Below are 17,385 nucleotides of genomic sequence, written 5' to 3' on the forward strand. Positions count from 1 at the left end.
CATATTTCTTACCTTTCAGGGTTGTATCACCCAGAGTCTCTGGTCCAGAGCCTGGCACATAAGTATACTCAATAAATTATCTCAGATGGCTGCTTTTCCCCCTGTATAACCACTTGCCTCCCTTGCTAAGTTCCTGCGTTCCTCCATTCCTCACAGACTAAGCAGTCATGTGTTCACCTCAGATGATAGGTCCAGAGTCGAGTAAAGGGACTAAGGCAGTGTGGTGGATGATGTCCAAATGTTTTGATATCAACACCATGCTCTGCCCCAAATCGCCAGCCTGGCTCCACGGTTAGACACAACACTGGGCTGAGAGGGGCGGGGAGGATTCTTGGCCTGTCAGGGTGGCATTTCTTATCTAGTGATAACCTACCATAGAACAAGGAGTAGAAATTGTGTGGGTCTTGAAAGATCAGCATGTCCTAGGCTCAGGATGGTTGCTCTTAGTGTTTAGATATCTATAGAACTATTCCAAAAAGGTTTTTATAAACTCCAATACGAGAAACTCATCAAATATTTCTTTTGTCAATTCTATTTTTGCTTTCTAAGAGCATACAACATAATAGGAGAAACAGACATTTATAAATAACTCTGATACTGGGCAGACAGATAAGTGCTGGTGTAGATACATGATATACAAATACAGTGGCTTGAGAGACTATTTCAAACTAGAAGATCTTAAAAGGAGTTTTGAAGGACATGAGATTAGAACCAGGCCTTAAAGAATAACAGATCTTCAACAGAAGACCCTGGGAGAAGGCAAGGGAGGTTGCAGAGAGGAAGGAGAATGGGTAGAGGGCCCAACACGAGTCAGCCAGAGAGGTGGGGCCTGTAGAAGGACAGGTGCATGAAGGATCATGCTCAAAAGGAGGTTGTGGAGGACTTTGAAAGGCAGGCTTAGGAGTTTGGACTTTACTCCATAAGGATACATTGAAGGAGCTGAAGGAGGGAGTGCTGGGATAGGCCAAGTTGTGTTTCAGGAAGATCATGACAGCATCAGCGTGGAGGATGGACTCATATTGGGTGGTGGAAGGTGGGTGCCAGGAATAAGGCTGAGCGAAAGCCTAGGTGGAATGTTTGGGGCATCTAAACCTAGACAGGGTCAGTGACGTCCAAGCTTCCCATACTCACCTTCAAGGGCCCATTAACTGGATCCTTCATGGTTTCCTCTCCAATGTCATCTGCAAACGCTAATACTGTAACCATTTAGTTCCATTTTGGTCACATCAAACTGCTCATGGTCTCTGGCCCTTCCTGGGTTCCTAACACAGAGGGCCTCTCTCTTCTCAGCTGAGGCCAACTTGACCCCCCATCTCCACCTATACTCATACCTACAGGGCTTGTATGCTAAGTTTGGCCCAGCTCCCTTGGTGCAATACTGACATGAGCTAGGAAGACCTGCCCCATGTAGTTTATTTCCAGGTCCTGGCCCTCTTCAGTGTGTCCCAGCCTGCTGGGTCTCACACTGCTCTGCCCTTAGCTATGACAGAAGGGATTTTGATAGCTCATCCAGGCCCACAGAAAGGAGAGACAGAGATGAGACAAAGTGGGTAAGGCTCAGCTACCCACCTTTCCCTGCCTCACAATTCAATTAGGACTGTTCAATCAGCATTGGCCAGTTCTGTGCGTGAGCTTACAGGAGATCGTATTTGAAGAGCTTCCCTATTACAAAAAGGCTTTAAATGCACTGACCTAGACCAACTTCTTTTCGATGCAAAAATGGAAAACAGGGTTGGAAAGATTTGTTCTTTCTATTTGCTTCCCGGTCAGGCGCCTACAGGGGCCCAGGGGCAGGAGCTTAAGTGTGAGGGAATAGGAACCTTGTCCCAAGGCTTTGGAATTTCCATTCAGTCTGTTTCTGGGTACAGCAGTTGTTCAGTGCAACTTATTTTGAGAAACTCTATAATCCTTGACTCAGAAGGTGGTGGCTTTGTGAATCTATATTGAGCAGGAGGTGGTAAAGCAACCCGGTAGAGCCAAGACAGGGCTGTGGTATGTGGTGGTATTAGGGATGGGGGTGGGATGGAAGGCTTGGCCAGCCTTCCTTCAGGAGACCTGGGACAGGAAAACAACCTTCATTGCTGCCACCAGGTGCCCAGTCTCCCCTTACAAAAGTCCTGTGAGGTACTCTTTATTTTCAGAAGTCAAACTATACTTTCCTAAAACACCTGCTCCTGACAAACAATGTCTGTTTCAGCATTTATTTTTAGCCAATTTTAGCTGCCACCCAACCCTGCTCCATGCTTGGCAAAGATGTTTAAAAGCTACGGATTAAAGAGGGATCAGGCATCAGGCTCCAGGGTTTACCTTATCAGAGGGAAACACCTAGAACTGCCATATTCCCTTCTCTCCCACATCTCTATAGGGATAGCCAGCCTTTCCCTTGCTTGGCCAAAAGAAAGTGTGGCTACTTACACAGAAGAGTCGTAGCTGCTTACAGAGTTCCCTCTCCCTATTGATTATCAGTGGTGGCACTGCCTCAATCTGATTGCACTCAGTAAGCAAGCCCTCCTTTACCTCATTTCCCCCATTGTGTGTCTTCTGCTTCTCCTAGTCCTAGGCATGCACCACATTTATTCACTCAGTGAGAGTTGGGCATGAGCCAACCAGGCAGTTTTCCAAAGTGTCAACCTATGATAGTTGCTAAAGCATTACTGTGCTCTAAAACATCACTGGATGTAGTGAAATGAAGAATAGCTTTACCAGAACATCTGTCAAGGAGAACACTAAATTCATTTCATCTATTCATTAAATAAATGTCTATTTGTGCCTATTCCATTCATTCATTCATTCATTCATTCATTCAATAGATACTTGTTTAGCACCTTAAATGATTATGTGCTAGACACTGGTCTGGTCTAGGCATTGGGATATAGTAATAAGCAAGATAGACAAAGTCTTTGCCATGTTAGAACTTACATCCTAATAGGGAGATGGTCAATATACAAGGATCTTGGGTCAAGTTCTTCACAAATAGACACTGAGATGATTTGGGTTTAGTAATCTGTCATGAAATCCAAATTAAAGGTTATAAAGGCAGTATGGGACCTTGTGGGACTGGAAAAATTGAACTTTCTGGGCCTCAAACAATGGGAGTTAAGGTGCAAAGTATATTTGGGCAACAAAGGTTCATTAAGATTTCACAGTTATACAGAAGGACTCAGGCTATGAAAAAGATCAGCTTCAAGTTATTACCTCCATACTGAACCCTGTGGCCAGATGGTTATAGGGTAGCCTCAGATGAGTTGAGAGAGGCATGAGGGTGAGGAAACAAAGAAATAGGACAGTACTAAGACTTGTGTCTAGGAAAGACTTTTGGGCTACTGGCACATGCAATTGACTGGAAGCAAATAGATTAGAAGCCTACTGTCTTTGAGAGAATTGTGTTGGCAGATAAATCATAATCCTGGCTAAAATAAATAAAAAATACCCTGAAATATAAAACAGCTCTCAGGGCTCCAAATCTGCACTAGCAGGAAGCAGGCTGTGAATGTTGTGTAGTTCCAAGGAAGGCCAACTCAACGATGTTCATTTCAGATGAGACCATGGAGGAAAGTGTACACGGAAGAATCTGCCAAAGGTGGAGCCAGGTACCAGGGAGAACAATGGACAAGGAAATTCCACCAGAGATCAGAATTAAGATCTAATCCAGAAATTTCCCCTCATATTGGAGCAGGCAGTTTTTATCGTGCCTATTCAAGCAAGATTTCATCATTGTGATGGACAAGAGACTGCTCTGTAGCTCCCATTCTTCCCTTCCCGAAAGAGGACTTTAGAATGTCCTGTACTATTCCTGTGTTTCTACCTCCATGTTGTATTTTGGGTGGTGATTAGTGGAACACAGATAGTTGTTTTGAGTTTCTAAGTCTCCAGACCATAAGGAGGTAGATCCAGACTTGCCAAAAAGAACTGCACACCTCTCAGAGATCCTAGACTTTGAGCTGGATGTGGTGGCTGAATGAGATTTTTTATTTCGTGGTGTGTGTTTATGTTCTAAGTGTTTAAGTATGGGAAGAAAGGTATCCACTGATATTTGGTGATCAATTTTGTATTTTTTTTGTATAGATGGGGTTTTGCCATCTTGGCCAGGCTGATCTCTAACTCCTAGGCTCAAGCCATCCACCTGCCTTGGCCTCTCAAAGTGCTGGGATTACAGGTGTGAGCCACCATTGCCAGCTTGTCATGGAGTCTAACATGTAATTGTTTCAAGCATCACCATAATGCTAAACCAAATGCATAATTACCATAATGCATTTGCCTGGCACACAGATAACATTAGACCTAGATGACTAGCTGTTCACCAAATATTCATATAGAATTGACATTGGGATTGACTATTTCTGAGCATCCCTTCCATTTGTGTAACTAGCTATCCCCAATGGAATATGAGTAGAAGTGATGTGTATCACTTCCAGGCTTTGATTTTTAAGAAGTTGATGGGGATGATCCACATTCTCTTCTCCTGTCTGTCATCTGAATGCTGGGAATGTTCAGCTTCTAAGGAATACTAGAGCCAAAAGATGGCCCCTAAACACCACATGAAGGGATACTGCAAATCAGAAATATATACTTTGGACAATTACATGAACAAGAAATAAATTTTCATTTTGTTAAACCACTGAATTTTGTTGTTGTCATTGCTGTTGTTACAGCATTATGGTAATTATGCAGTTGGTTTAGCATTATGGTGATGCTAGAAACAATTACATGTAAGACTCCATGACAGGCTGGGCATGGTGGCTCACGCCTGTAATCCCAGCACTTTGAGAGGCCAAGGCGGACTAATGGCTTGAGCCTAGAATTAGAAAAAAAAAAAAATTAGCTGGGTATGGTGGTGCTCACCTATAGTCCCAGCTACTAGGGAGGCTGAGGTGGGAAGACTGAGCCCAGGAGGTCAAGGCTGCAGTGAGCTGTGGTGGTGCCACTGTACTCTGGCCTGGGTGACAGAGTGAAACTCTGTCTCAAAAACAAAACAAAACAAAAGATTCCATGACGGTGAATCAAGCATCTGTTAAACCCGTAAGTGATGTTCCTGACAGAAGCATGGCGGACAGAGAAGGCAAATCCATATCCAGATAAATATCTGCTCCAATGAGAACCAAATTGTTGCCCCCTCCATGAAAAGGAATCCAATGTAATCAGCCTTCCAGGCAAGTGCTAGACTGAGACCTCTAGGCCATGGTACTAGATTAAAGGTTTCAAGGTTAGTCACTGCCTCTAAGAAATTGAATACTCAGCAGTGGTGTGGTCAGATCAGCCTCAGTAAAGGAAAGTACTTGTTGAGCTTATCTATGATCTTAATCCTACCACCATGGTGATGTTCATAAACTCACTGAGAAAAATACTGCGGTGAGTGGGAAAGAGGTTGACTGACATTCATATGGCATGAAATCTTGTACACTATTTGAGAGTCTCCTACACTGTGGACACCTTTGGGAGAACATTCTCATGGAATAAATATATTTTCACCCATTATGATTAGTTTGTTTATATGTATTTTCCCCAAAACTCCTTGTCACAAATCCATGAAGTTTATTCCTTCCAAGTTCCTGACTGCTTAACCAAACCATTAGCCCTTGTCCATGAATTGGCTTAGATCCAGATCTCAGGTCATTTGTCCTTCCACACAAAGTGCACCATGACAAATACCACTCAAAGCTCTGCATAGTGGAAGGATTTCCCTTCTCTACCGTCCTGCAGGGTCACCCCTGAAGTAGAGCTGTAAGAGCAGTCCGCTTACTGCTGGTGCCAGAATATTATACAAATCCATCTGTAAACTAGATTATTTTAGGCTGGCATTGCAGGTAGGAGATGATGCAATTGAAATGAGCTCCCTGATTTCACAGGAGATGTTTGGATCCTGGAGTGGAAGAGGCAACACTTAGCCATCAGAGGTAGGGCAGCCATGGTTACTACAAAGAACATCAGGGCCAGAGTGGAATCAGCAGGTTTGACCCACGGGAATCACTGGAAGTATTAACCTGATTATGGGTCCCTAAGAGCAACATAGAGGGGCAGCTCAGTAAATTACTTCTTTGACTGGATAATCAAATAAATTGGAGGTCTGACAAACATAAGCCTGACACAAATCACCACGGTAGAGAATCTAGACCAGAATCAGTTCAAAGACCCAGAGCTCCTTGAATAAAAGAAAGTCTGCGCCGAGATTGGTGGCTCATGCCTGTAATCTCAGCACTTTGGGAGGCCGAGGCAGGTGGATCACGAGGCTGGTTCAAGACCAGCCTGGCCAACATGGCAAAACCCCATCTCTAATCAAAATACAAAAATTAGCCGGGTGTGGGGGTGGGCACCTGTAATTCCAGCTACTTGGGAGGCTGAGGCAGGAGAATTGCTAGAACCCAGGAGGCGGAGGTTGCAGTGAGCCGAGATCATGCCATTGCACTCCAGCCTGGGTGACAAAAGCAAGACTCCATCTCAAAAAAAAAAAAAAAAGGCTGAAAACACTACAGAAAGAACTCTGAGATAGTGTCACAAGCATGTACTACAAATCTTTGTATCCTTCCCCATGGAGGCCCTCCTACAGCCATTTCCCAAATAACTGTGCACTGGGGGAGAGGAAATTCTCAGACCTTTTCAGAGTTTATTGAACACTAGCTCTAAGCTAAACCCTGACGACCCAGAACATCACTGTAACACACCAGTCAGGGTGGGGGGCTTTGGGGAATGGGTGTTGTGACTTAGAGACTTTTATTTTTTCACTCTCTCAAAGGTATCAGGGTAGGTGGCTTTAGCTCAGGCTTCCTGCCTGACCAAGATAGTGAGGAGGAAATACATGGAATTTACTCTAAGTCCTTATCACAGTAGTCCCAGTAGGTCCACAAACACATCCTGTAGTTTCACCCCAAGTTCCTGAGTGTATATTGGTAATAAAGATACCAAAACACTAATAGAATCTTCATGTTTCTCCCTGACCTGTAGAATGCGGGCTATCACAGTAGAAAGAAAGCGGAATCCTTGGAACTACCCAACCGAAATAGGGGACCAAAGCAATGCCCCATTTATGGTAGAATCACAGTAGAACCACCGTCAAAGCCTTGAAAGAGGCAAGAAGGGTGACCCCCACTATATTCCCATTTACTAGGACAAAGTTAAGGGGTAAATAAGTGGGGTTCCACATGATCAATACATTCCAACATCCCTGTCTCCCTAAATCATTGGATTCCTTCCTCTACATTATACCAAAGAATTACCATTGTTGCTGATGAGAAATCTGCTGTACTTTTTTGTCTATTCCATAACTTTTAGAAATTTTTATTATTTTTAATGTTTTATAGTTTATCTATAATGTGGAGTTTACAAATCTATCATTTAACACTTGATGAGCTTTATGAAACTAGATACTAATTTTTTTCTTCAGTTCTAGAAACATTTCCAACATTCTATCTTCAATTATTGACTCTTTCCCATTCCCTTCTCTCTTGAAACTCTTATTAGACTATATTAGAGTGTCTCTCTGTCTTACAATTTTTCTTTCAGGTTTTCTATCTTTTAATTCATTGTGCTGAAACTGTAAGAAAATTTCATCAGTTCTATTTCTCAGGTCACTCATTTTCTCTTCAGTTCTGTCAAATCTTAATTTTAACCATTTCTTATTTAAATGCTGTATTTTTCATTTTAAAGATATACTTCTGTTTTTATCTCCGTGTTCTTGCTTCATAAACCCTGTTTTTCTTCTGTGGGTGCTACTCCATCCTTTATTTCTGTAAGAATTTTCAACGTATTTTAAAGTCTTTTTTCAGATTATTCTGTTATTTGTATTTTCTCAGGTGTGATTTTCCAGTTGGTTGTGTATGGTGACTCATGGTGCTGACTTTCCTCAAATGCTTTATCAAGCTCAAATTCTGAGCTTGTCTTCCGTGGCACTTTTTAACAGTTTTATTAAGATATACTTCACATACCACACAAATCACCCATTTAAAGTATAACTCAATGGCTCTCAGAATATGTAAATATCTGTGAATCTACCACCACAATCAATTTTTCATGACCCCTTCCATGACATTTTATTCCATATGTACCCCTGGACTATGATGGCCTCACTGCACAGCACATTTGCAGTTTCAATGCACAGCACCAAAGTAGGGCTTATGTTTGAAGCTTGGCTCAAGACTCAGCCGCTGAGAAAATAGAATACTGAGCTCTGAACTCACCACAAAGGTCTATGCCTGAGTATTATGCAGGTGACTTTTCTTTCTTAGCCTCTGGTAGGCACCTTGTTTTTGTGTGCAATTCCAGAAAATAGGACAGAGCTATTCCAACTTCCTTCTTTAGGTATCCACTTATTCAGGGATTCTGGTTCAGGCCCTTTGCCAATAATAGGACTCCCAACTAGAACAGTGGCCTCTATCCTTGCTTGGGTGTTGAAACCATGGCCTTGATGATGCTTATGTGTTTCTTCTTCCCATGGATCATGAGGCTCCAGTCTTTCCCTGTGGCTGTAAGTTCCTTCCATATATTTTTTTTTCTCCTTTTCTTAAGGGTAGAAACTTTATTTTTGGTCCATGAAGACATCTCTTCCTAGCGTTTTATGTATGGATGGAGTTTTAAATACTCAATTTATCATATTGTATTAGTCCATTTTCACACTGCTATAAAGAAGTGCCTGAGACTGGGTAATTTATAAAGGAAAGGTTTAATTGACTCACAGTTTAGCATAGCTGGGGAGGCCTCGGGAAACTTACAATCATGGTGGAAGGGGAAGCAAGGCACCTTCTTCACAAGGTGGCAGGAAGGAGAAGTGCCGAGCAAAGGGGGAAGAGCGCCTTATAAAACTCTCAGATCTTGTGAGAACTCACTCACTGTCACAAGAACAGCATGAGGGAACTGCCCCCATGATTCAATTACCTCCACCTGGTCTCTCCTTTGACACATGGGGATTTATGGGGATTATTGGAATTACAATTCAAGATAAGATTTGAGTGGGGACACAAAGCCTAACCATATCATATATATAATGTGGAATGAAAGTGTGAGGTTCAGCCTGTGCTCAATCCACCCTTGTGCCATAGAATTGGTAAATGCCCTTTTAAACAATCTTCCAGCTGTCCCCTCAGGTGCTCAGGGTACTTATCTTGTCCTTGACTCCCCAGGATGCTTCCACTGGAGTACCCCATACTTTGAGCCATCATCCCTACAAGATAGGCTCTCTGGGAGCAAAATGTGTTTGCAGTTTTGATGCAAGTACACTTACAGGTCAGAACTATTCCTGTCCTTTAACCCTGGTCCTGTAGCATGGGAAAGTATGTGCAGGGGACCTCGTAGCAGGCTGCTGTCTATCTTCATCTACACATCCTTCTCTCTGGCCTGCTAAGATAGAAGGAGCACAGAGAATCTCATTAAAGCTGCACCTGTGATGGGACAGAACATCAAACTAGAAGGAAACATGGGATTGTAACTGATTCTATCACTAACTAGCTCTGAGGCCTTGGGAAAACCACTTTGTTGTCTCAGCTTCTAAAATGGGAATAATGATAACAGCTGTTTATTATGGCAAATTGTAGTCCATTTCATTCATGCAGCAAGTATTTCAGAGACAGCCTGCCTTGTGGAATGAACTGGGTTCTGGTCTCACCTCTGTCACCAACTCTAACTCACTGGGTGACTTTGGGCAACTCAAACAAGATGGAAATTCTAGGAGCAAAGATTTCAGCTAAAAGAAAACTAAAACATTTCTAACAGAGCTACCTAATGATAGGCTGGGCTGTATTGGGAAATGGCATAAGCATATCTAATATTTATTCAGCAATCACTTTATTAAGCTATTATACTAAGTGCTTTACATGCCTTGCTTCATTTAATCTTCACAGTAATCCTATGTGTTAGATGCTTTTACAGATGAGGAAACAAGCTCAAAGAGGTTAAGTAGCAAGGCTAAGATCTGACCCAAAGATCCATGAAACCAGGCCGAGTCCACTTAACCACTCTGCTGCTTTGCCAGTGGAAATGCTCAGAAGAAGGTGGAAGACCATTGGCAGGCAGTGGAGAGATCATAGCAGCAATTAGGTTAGGCTAGATGACTGCTCAGCCCTGAGGTTCTAGGACTCTTGCTCCTTCCAGGCTCAGTTTCCTGGAAAATAAGAGTTAAATGTGATTGCTAGGGGCTCCTCACCATTATAAAATCCTGTGACTCATGTGCTAGGGACAGAGGGCAACAGAAAAGTAACGTCAGATGTACTCTCTGATGTCCCAGAGTATAGTTGGGAGGGCGAGTCATATCTCACAACCTCCATGACCCAGTGCTCTGTTGTATGGGAAGGGAAAGTCAGTGGGGTGGATGGAAAGTGTTGGAAGGAATGAGCATGGGGGCTTAGAATGGCAGGGTCTAAGTAGGTGCCAGGGAAAGGAAGCAGAAAGTGCATGTTTGAAAAGCCAGAGGTGTTTCCCTTTGAAAGCTTAGCTGCTACACAGAGCAGCTCTATCCATGCCTTGACAGCTCCCAGACCCAGCTGTCAGAGGGCACCTTTCACTCTCTTTAACCAGCTGAAGTGCCCTGGCTGTCCTGAACTCAACACCTCCACACTCTCAGCTCTCCTGCCTGAGCCCGACATGGGAGGCAGAGCAAAAGGCCACCATCATTTTAGCTGCCCCCTCCCACTCCCACAGAACCCACTGGGTTAAAGGCTGCTATACATATTAAAATAGGGACCCCAACATGTGTGAGTATGTGTGTAGTAATTTTTTATTTTCCTAAAATCTTGAGACTATTTTAGGGGGCAGGGAAGAAGACAGACAAGTTAGTGACAGGGAAGTCCTTGATTAACTGTTTCTTTCCACATTTTAATTTCCTTTCTGATAGAAAATTCAAATAAAACTGGGGGGCTGTCACAGTTTGTCAGTGGTGGTGGGGGATGGGAGGCAGGATGTCTTGGAAACATAGGAGGACATAGGGACATGATAGTAGCAACAAGCTTGGATATTTCCCAAGCAGGGCCTTCAGAGCCACTGTCTGGAGAGGAGAGCTCTTTGGATAAACCGTTGTGTCTGTTGGAAAGTGGTCATGCTTTCATGCTCAGTGTAAGTTTCCATTGGTGCTGTATTTCACCATGCACAGGCAGCACAAGGAGAGGAAGAAAATGCCCTTTTGGAAACTAGTTTGTAGATAAAGTGAATCAGCAAAAGACAAGGTAGAATCCAGAAAAATAAGAAAGAACAACTTCAGTTCAACATGGCAGATGTTTTCCAGCATCTCTTGCCTGCCTAACGTTGTCCTAAATGTTGCAAGGCACAAGGTCTGGAGGGAAAGGTCTATCCAGGTAGACAAGACTCACACACAGGAAACCACAGGAATTTTTAAAAATCCCTATAAATGCTGGCAAGAATACTATCAAATGTCAGAATGTTTTTCCCTACACACATATACTTGTTCTAGCAGTGAAGGATACCTACTAACTTTGATGCTCCAGGCTTGGTCTGAATGTCATACTATTGTAGAATGAGGAAAGCTACATTTCAAACCGGAATCATTGGCTCAGTCTGGATTCTCCAGGAAGCAGGCCTGAGGCAAAGGCTGATGTGCTAACACATCAATAGAGTGTATAGTCTTAGGGGCAACAATAGGGAATGAGGTGAGAAAGACAGGTAAGGAGACAGACTCAATAGGAAGATGTGTCATCAAGCAGGACACTGCTAAGTGTCACTGGCTGCTCAATCCACAGGACCACACCCTTGAGTAGCCCTATCATCCAGATCTCAGAACCACCAGGGGAGTGGGACAGGGGTGGAGACAAACCCACTGAACAGAGGTTTGCCATGTGTTGCATTAGGCCCACACTTTAAGGTTGCCCATGTGTTGGGGAAAGTACTGAGCAGGGTTCTACCACTGCTTCCTTAGGGAAATCCTAGGGGAAGTCAGATGCAGTCAGCTGCACCCATGTGAAATTGATCCATATGGTTTCCAGACAGCTGGAAGAAGAGGCAGGTGAGGCGGAGAGGATCTGTAGTAAAGCAGAGAAGGGTCTAACACACCCATGATCCCTCTACTGCATAATAATTGTCTGACCGCAGTTTTCCTCTCTGAATCCCCAGGTCCTGGTGCTGCATGAGGCATACAGCAGGCCTGAATCTTACGTTTGTTAAATAAGTGAATGGAATAAATTTTGTTGAATGACTAAGACCTAAAGCCTCTTAGTCATTCCTGACTTCTTCCTACCACCATCCCCCACCCCATACCTGACCAGTCACCAAGTCCTACTGCCTGTGTTCCTAGCTCATGCTGACCCCTCTCCCAGCCCCACCAGTCTTCCCTGTCTCACCTGCTGCAACTCTGAAGTGTAACTCTGAAGTGTAGCCCTGATCATCCCACTCCCAACACACAAAGAAACTCAACAGGTCGTTACCACTTACAGAGTGAAAGTGTCCAGCATCCCCCACTGCGCATCCCACCTCTTGGCCTCACTCCCTCAGGGCTCCTCCCAGCTCCTGGAACACATCAGTTCCTTATCGGTTCTGTTGCTGGTGTTTGTTTGTTTGTTTTAATTTGTGTCATTTTCTCCCACCGGGAAGTCTTCTCCTCTGACATAGAAAATCTTATTCCTCTTTCAAAGGCAATTTCAAGTGCCACCAACTCTATGAAGCCCTTCCTGAGCTCTTCCTCCTCCCCAGGTTCTCCCGTTCCTCTGAAGACCTTCAGTGACATTTTTTCCTCTTACCACACTGAGCACTGCTCCCTGGTAATATGGCATTGTTCCCCTCCTCTACAAGGTCCCGAGTGGTTGAGGGCAGGATTCTCTCTTACAGATATCCTCCCAAACGGTGCCTGCCCGTGGCCCTGACATGGTGTGCAGTGGGCGGTCACCACACTGGGATGTGTAAGAAGGGTTCATGGGGGAAGCCTTGCCTCCCAATTCACTCTAGTGCTCTGCCATTCCCAGAGGCCACAGCTGGTGGGCCATCCGCTGTCACACAGTTGACTGCCAGAACCCTGGGGTGGGCACCTCCTGCTAACCATATCCCATTTAAGGGTGACAGTCTGAGCCCAAACAAAAAAATTTTCCCAGGCATGAGGATTGCAGAAACTGAAAGGCAGCTCCTGGCAGCCACCCCAGGGGAACACCAAATTTAGCCCAAAAGTTGAATATAAATATATTTTAAGTGTGTTAATTTCAAAAATAGCATCATTACATTAAAATAGTTTACAAAATTAAGAGAATTAAAGCACCCCCACCAATCCACCAAATTGCTTTCATTTTTGTTTGTTGCCCTCAAGTCTTTGCTCTTATAAATGCCTTTTTTTTTGAGATAGGGGTCTTGCTATGTTGTCCAGGCTGCCCTGGGACTCCTGGGCTCAAGTGATCCTCCCACCTCAGCTTCCCAAATAACTGGGACTATAGATGCGCAGTACCACGCCAAGCATAAATGCCTATTTTTGCACATCGTAATCATGCTACACATACAATTTTGTGTCTTGCCTTTTTACTTAAGAATATGTGATGAGCACTTAAGAGAAGTATAAGGCAGGTTTAAATCCCAATCCTACTGCCTAGTAGCTGTGCAAGTTACTGAATCTAAGTCTGTTTCCTTATCTGTAAAATGGGGTCAAATAACCTTGAAGGATTACTGTAAGGATGAAATAGCAATTCATAAAATCTCTTAGCACAATGCCTAGAAAACAGCAAGCACTTAATAATTGAAGGTGTATTTCATTATTACTATTAAAATATGTGAGGGTTTTTAAATTGACTTTTCCCCAGCCAACTACACCCTGCACAAGCTTTTACAATGGTTTCAAATGTGGAATTTTACCTCAAACCTTTGTAAATGTAATCCCCTCCAGGTTATATTTTATCACATTTAAAGACAAGTCCCAAGAAGGTATAAAATAACTTTCTATCCTGCCCCGTTAGCTGAACAGCAGCTGCTGCTGGAGGGGATTTAGCCTTGGCCAGGCTGCAGAGCCCAGGGCGATGAACACTCCTGAAAGGTTCCTGCTTAGTTCTCACTTTCTCTGAGAAACCCTTTGTTAGCAAGTACATGCACGCAGTCCCATAAGGGCCTTGAATCAGGGTAATGGAAAATTCTGTCAGGTTGAAGGGACTGAGGGGGCTTGAGTCTTGCTGCCAAGCGATGGCCTCCCCCGGGGCTGTGCTGCCCTTAGCTGAAGGTGGAGATAGATAAAGAAAAGCATTAGCCTCCAACCCCCAAATCATCTCCCCACCCGCCGGCTTGATGAGGTGCTTAGAAGTCTCATGGTTGTCATTCCTTTGGTTTAAGGCTTTGAAGGTACTGTATCTATAAACATCATATATATTGCCATGAAGAGCTTGACTCAGTTTATTCATCTGCAGCTCTGTAATTCTGATAATGGGCCCCACAAGAGTACAAGAGCCTGCTTGTACTCTATCCAAGACTCTGTCCTAGTGCCTTGCTTAGTAACCCAGCTACTAGGGTGAAGTTCCGCTCTGCCCATGTCAGACTCCCTTCCCTGAGTCTGGAAGTCCAGCTCCAAATCCAGATCAGGGTCTGGGGCCCTACTGCCAGCTGAGACATGTCCCCAGCAGTGCCTGCCTGCCTGTCTGGTGTCTTACACAACTTCCACGGCTTGGCTTCCCTGCTATGTGCTCCTCCACCCTCCCCATTCCCCACCTCTCTGTGTACTTGATGTTTTGCTGCTTTGACTTCCCTGATGCTAAGGCTACTCTGGGCCATGCCCTGCTGGCTCTTTCCCAGCCCCTTTGGATATAGTCTTCTTCCAACAAGCCTGGACTGTACTCCTTTCTGTCCCCGAGCACCCCTGCCTCCCCTCTCCAGCCCTACCCCACAGAATAGGCCTAGTTTAGAAGGCCCAAAGTGTGTTATCAGAATTGATACTGGTGGATTCTGACAGTCTTCCTGATCATGAAAAAAAAATAGGGCTTTTAGAACTTAACATATATTTTCTTGTTTTAATTCAGATCTTTTACATATGCCCCTTCTGCTTCCTTGAGTAAAAAGATTACTGTCCTTTGAATTTTTTGCAGAAAGAGGTATGTGTGTTTTGCTACAGTTGGCGCCAAACCATGCTGTTTTAGTTACTGCTTGAATTCTGTCTTTCAAAAATGTTGGACTAAACTGAGATAAGGGACAGCTGTATTCTGGAATTTTCTGGAAGGAATTTAGATTCACCCACCTGGGTTCCTCCCCTGCGCATCAGTGCCTGGCTTCTAAACTTTCACATCTCAGCTTCAATGTTACCTCCTCAGAAAAGACTTTCCGCTACCCTATCTGAATACTAGAATCTCTCAGCCCACCTTTGCTAACCCCTTGTTCCCTTCATGACACTTGTCACAATTTATTTTCTTTAGCCCTGGGTGTGGTGAATCACACCTGTAATCCTAGCACTTTGGGAGGCTGAGGCAAGTGTATCACCTGAGGCCAGGAGTTCGAGACCGGCCTTGCCAACATGGCAAAACTCCATCTCTACTAAAAATGGTGTTGCATGCCTGTAATCCCAGCTACTCAGGAGGCTAAGGCACAAGAATCACTCGAACCAAGGAGGCGGCGTTTGCAGTGAGCCAAGATCGCGCCGCTGCACTCCAGCCTGGGCAACACAGTGAGGCCCTGTCACACATACACACAAAAAAATTATTTTATTTGTTTATTTGTGTTAGAGTGCCTTCCCCACCAAACTCTAAGATCCAAAAGGCAGAAATCATGTCTGGTCTCTAAAATTATACTCCTAAAGCCTAACATAATGCCTACCTGAAAATAGCTGGTCAATAATTCTTTGTTGAGTGACAATATTTTCCACTTGAAACAGTAAAAAACTATAGACTCTACCTATCTCTGATGATCATCAAGTGACCAGTGAAAGGGAAAATCCTTAATCATATTCTACTTAAAAATCTAGGATTTTAAAAAATCTGTTTATTATCAAGGACCAACTGCAGGGGCTTCCAGAACTTCCTGAGGATTGGGACGTGGGCAGCTCCCTCCAGCCTCGCTGTTTTCCTGATTTCCACATCATGACAGCAATCCTTCAAGATGCCTGCAAGGTGCCTACCGTCCTTGTTCTTTTGTTTTTCTCTCTGGTATCGCAATTTGCTATTAGGAAAAAATCTGAAACCCATTCATACTATGATTTTACATAGGAGTATTATTAGCATTTAACCACTTAAACACTTGAGCCATTGGAATGAAACATTCTGGTCTTATCTGGCACTGGAGGAAGCAATTTAAGGAAATGGGCCTAAAGAGGCCTGCAACTTGAGTGTGTTCACTCTATTACCAACCAGCTTATGCTCTTTAGTGATGAAGCTTTAGAAGGGAGGGAGAAAGAAAGAAAATGAGAGTAGACATACATGAGGTTGAAATCTTACTATAAGTTACTTTTTGTAGTCCAGCATATAATGAACTGTTAAATGTTAATGACTATGTTTATAAACATGTGAGATGGACTGTTTTTTTTTTTTTCTAGGAGAAAAAAATGGGTTCCAAGTGCTTTCTCTGGTTAGACTACTGCGGTATCTCTGGGTGGAGCACCTTATCCTCAGACAGAGGCCAGGTGTACTCCTAAGTCTCCATATTGGTGTCATAATATGCGTTCTATGATCTCTTTGCAAGACCTTTTTTAAAAAGCTTTCCTGCCCTGATAAACAAGACTGATTGGTAGTTAAGATTACACTTCTGTTTGTCTTTCCTAATCTTCTCTCAGAAATGACACCCATTTGTTGGTGAAAGGCTAAGTGGCCGGTCCCTTGACCCTTTGTTTGGAGCAACAGTTATTTCTCTTCTTCCAAATAGATGAAATATCAATAGCGAGCCAGTGAGAAGCAGCCCCACTCTCAGGGAGCTCTCCTGGGCGTCAGTTTACGTATCTGTAAAATGGTGATACAAACACCTATTTCACAGACTCATCCTTGGGGTCTATACTTCTTTAAAGCCTTCTCATTTTTAGGTCCAGGTCAGGTCTCCCCTCTTCTCTGTGTAGTTTGTTAGTTTTTTGTTTTGTTCTGTTTTGTTTTATTTTTTATGTATCACCTCCTGGAGCCTATGGTTCCTAGAATTGATGATAAATGAATTCGTGTTTAATTCTGTTCTAATTGTTAGAATAGAATAATGTGAGTTACTCTGATCACATTAGGCAGATTGTGGGCTTGATAAAGGGAAGTTCTGGAATCATCCCTCAACATCCCATTTTCAAATACTGTGTATTCAAAACAATAACAAAAATAATCAGATAATAACAACAATTACCATGTAATGACTGTTATTTCCCAAGCACTCTGCTAAACTCTTTACAGTCAACTCAGTTAACAGCCCTATGAGGTACTTAACAGCTCAGTTAACAGCCCCATGAGGTAGATATTAATGGGGCCCAGTTTACAGATGAAGAAACCAAGGCTCAGAGATTGTCTTGCTGGAGTCCAGATGTAAGTTAACAACTGGAAT

The 17,385-nt window shown here is 43.5% G+C and overlaps 2 long non-coding RNA genes across 2 annotated transcripts in view, besides 1 other annotated feature; one reads left to right on the forward strand and one right to left on the reverse strand.

Annotated features, from left to right (window-relative positions):
- Nucleotides 1–1,400, reverse strand: part of LOC105371230 (uncharacterized) — a 40,010-nt gene extending 38,610 nt beyond the window's left edge. Inside the window, exon 1 of the long non-coding RNA XR_922077.4 lies at nt 13–1,400. This is a non-coding gene — a long non-coding RNA (uncharacterized LOC105371230). The remainder of the gene's footprint in view (nt 1–12) is intronic.
- Nucleotides 1–17,385, forward strand: part of LOC102723321 (uncharacterized) — an 88,963-nt gene that overhangs the window by 37,948 nt on the left and 33,630 nt on the right. The window lies entirely within an intron of this gene.
- Nucleotides 9,903–15,095: an enhancer, noted in NCBI's record as "VISTA enhancer hs2126". NCBI's record gives its function as "enhancer in: heart[5/6]" and the evidence as "EXISTENCE:transgenic organism evidence [ECO:0001131][PMID:17130149]".

Source organism: Homo sapiens, chromosome 1, assembly GCF_000001405.40.
Source record: "Homo sapiens chromosome 1, GRCh38.p14 Primary Assembly".
In the NCBI taxonomy this organism is placed as follows: Eukaryota; Metazoa; Chordata; class Mammalia; order Primates; family Hominidae; genus Homo; species Homo sapiens.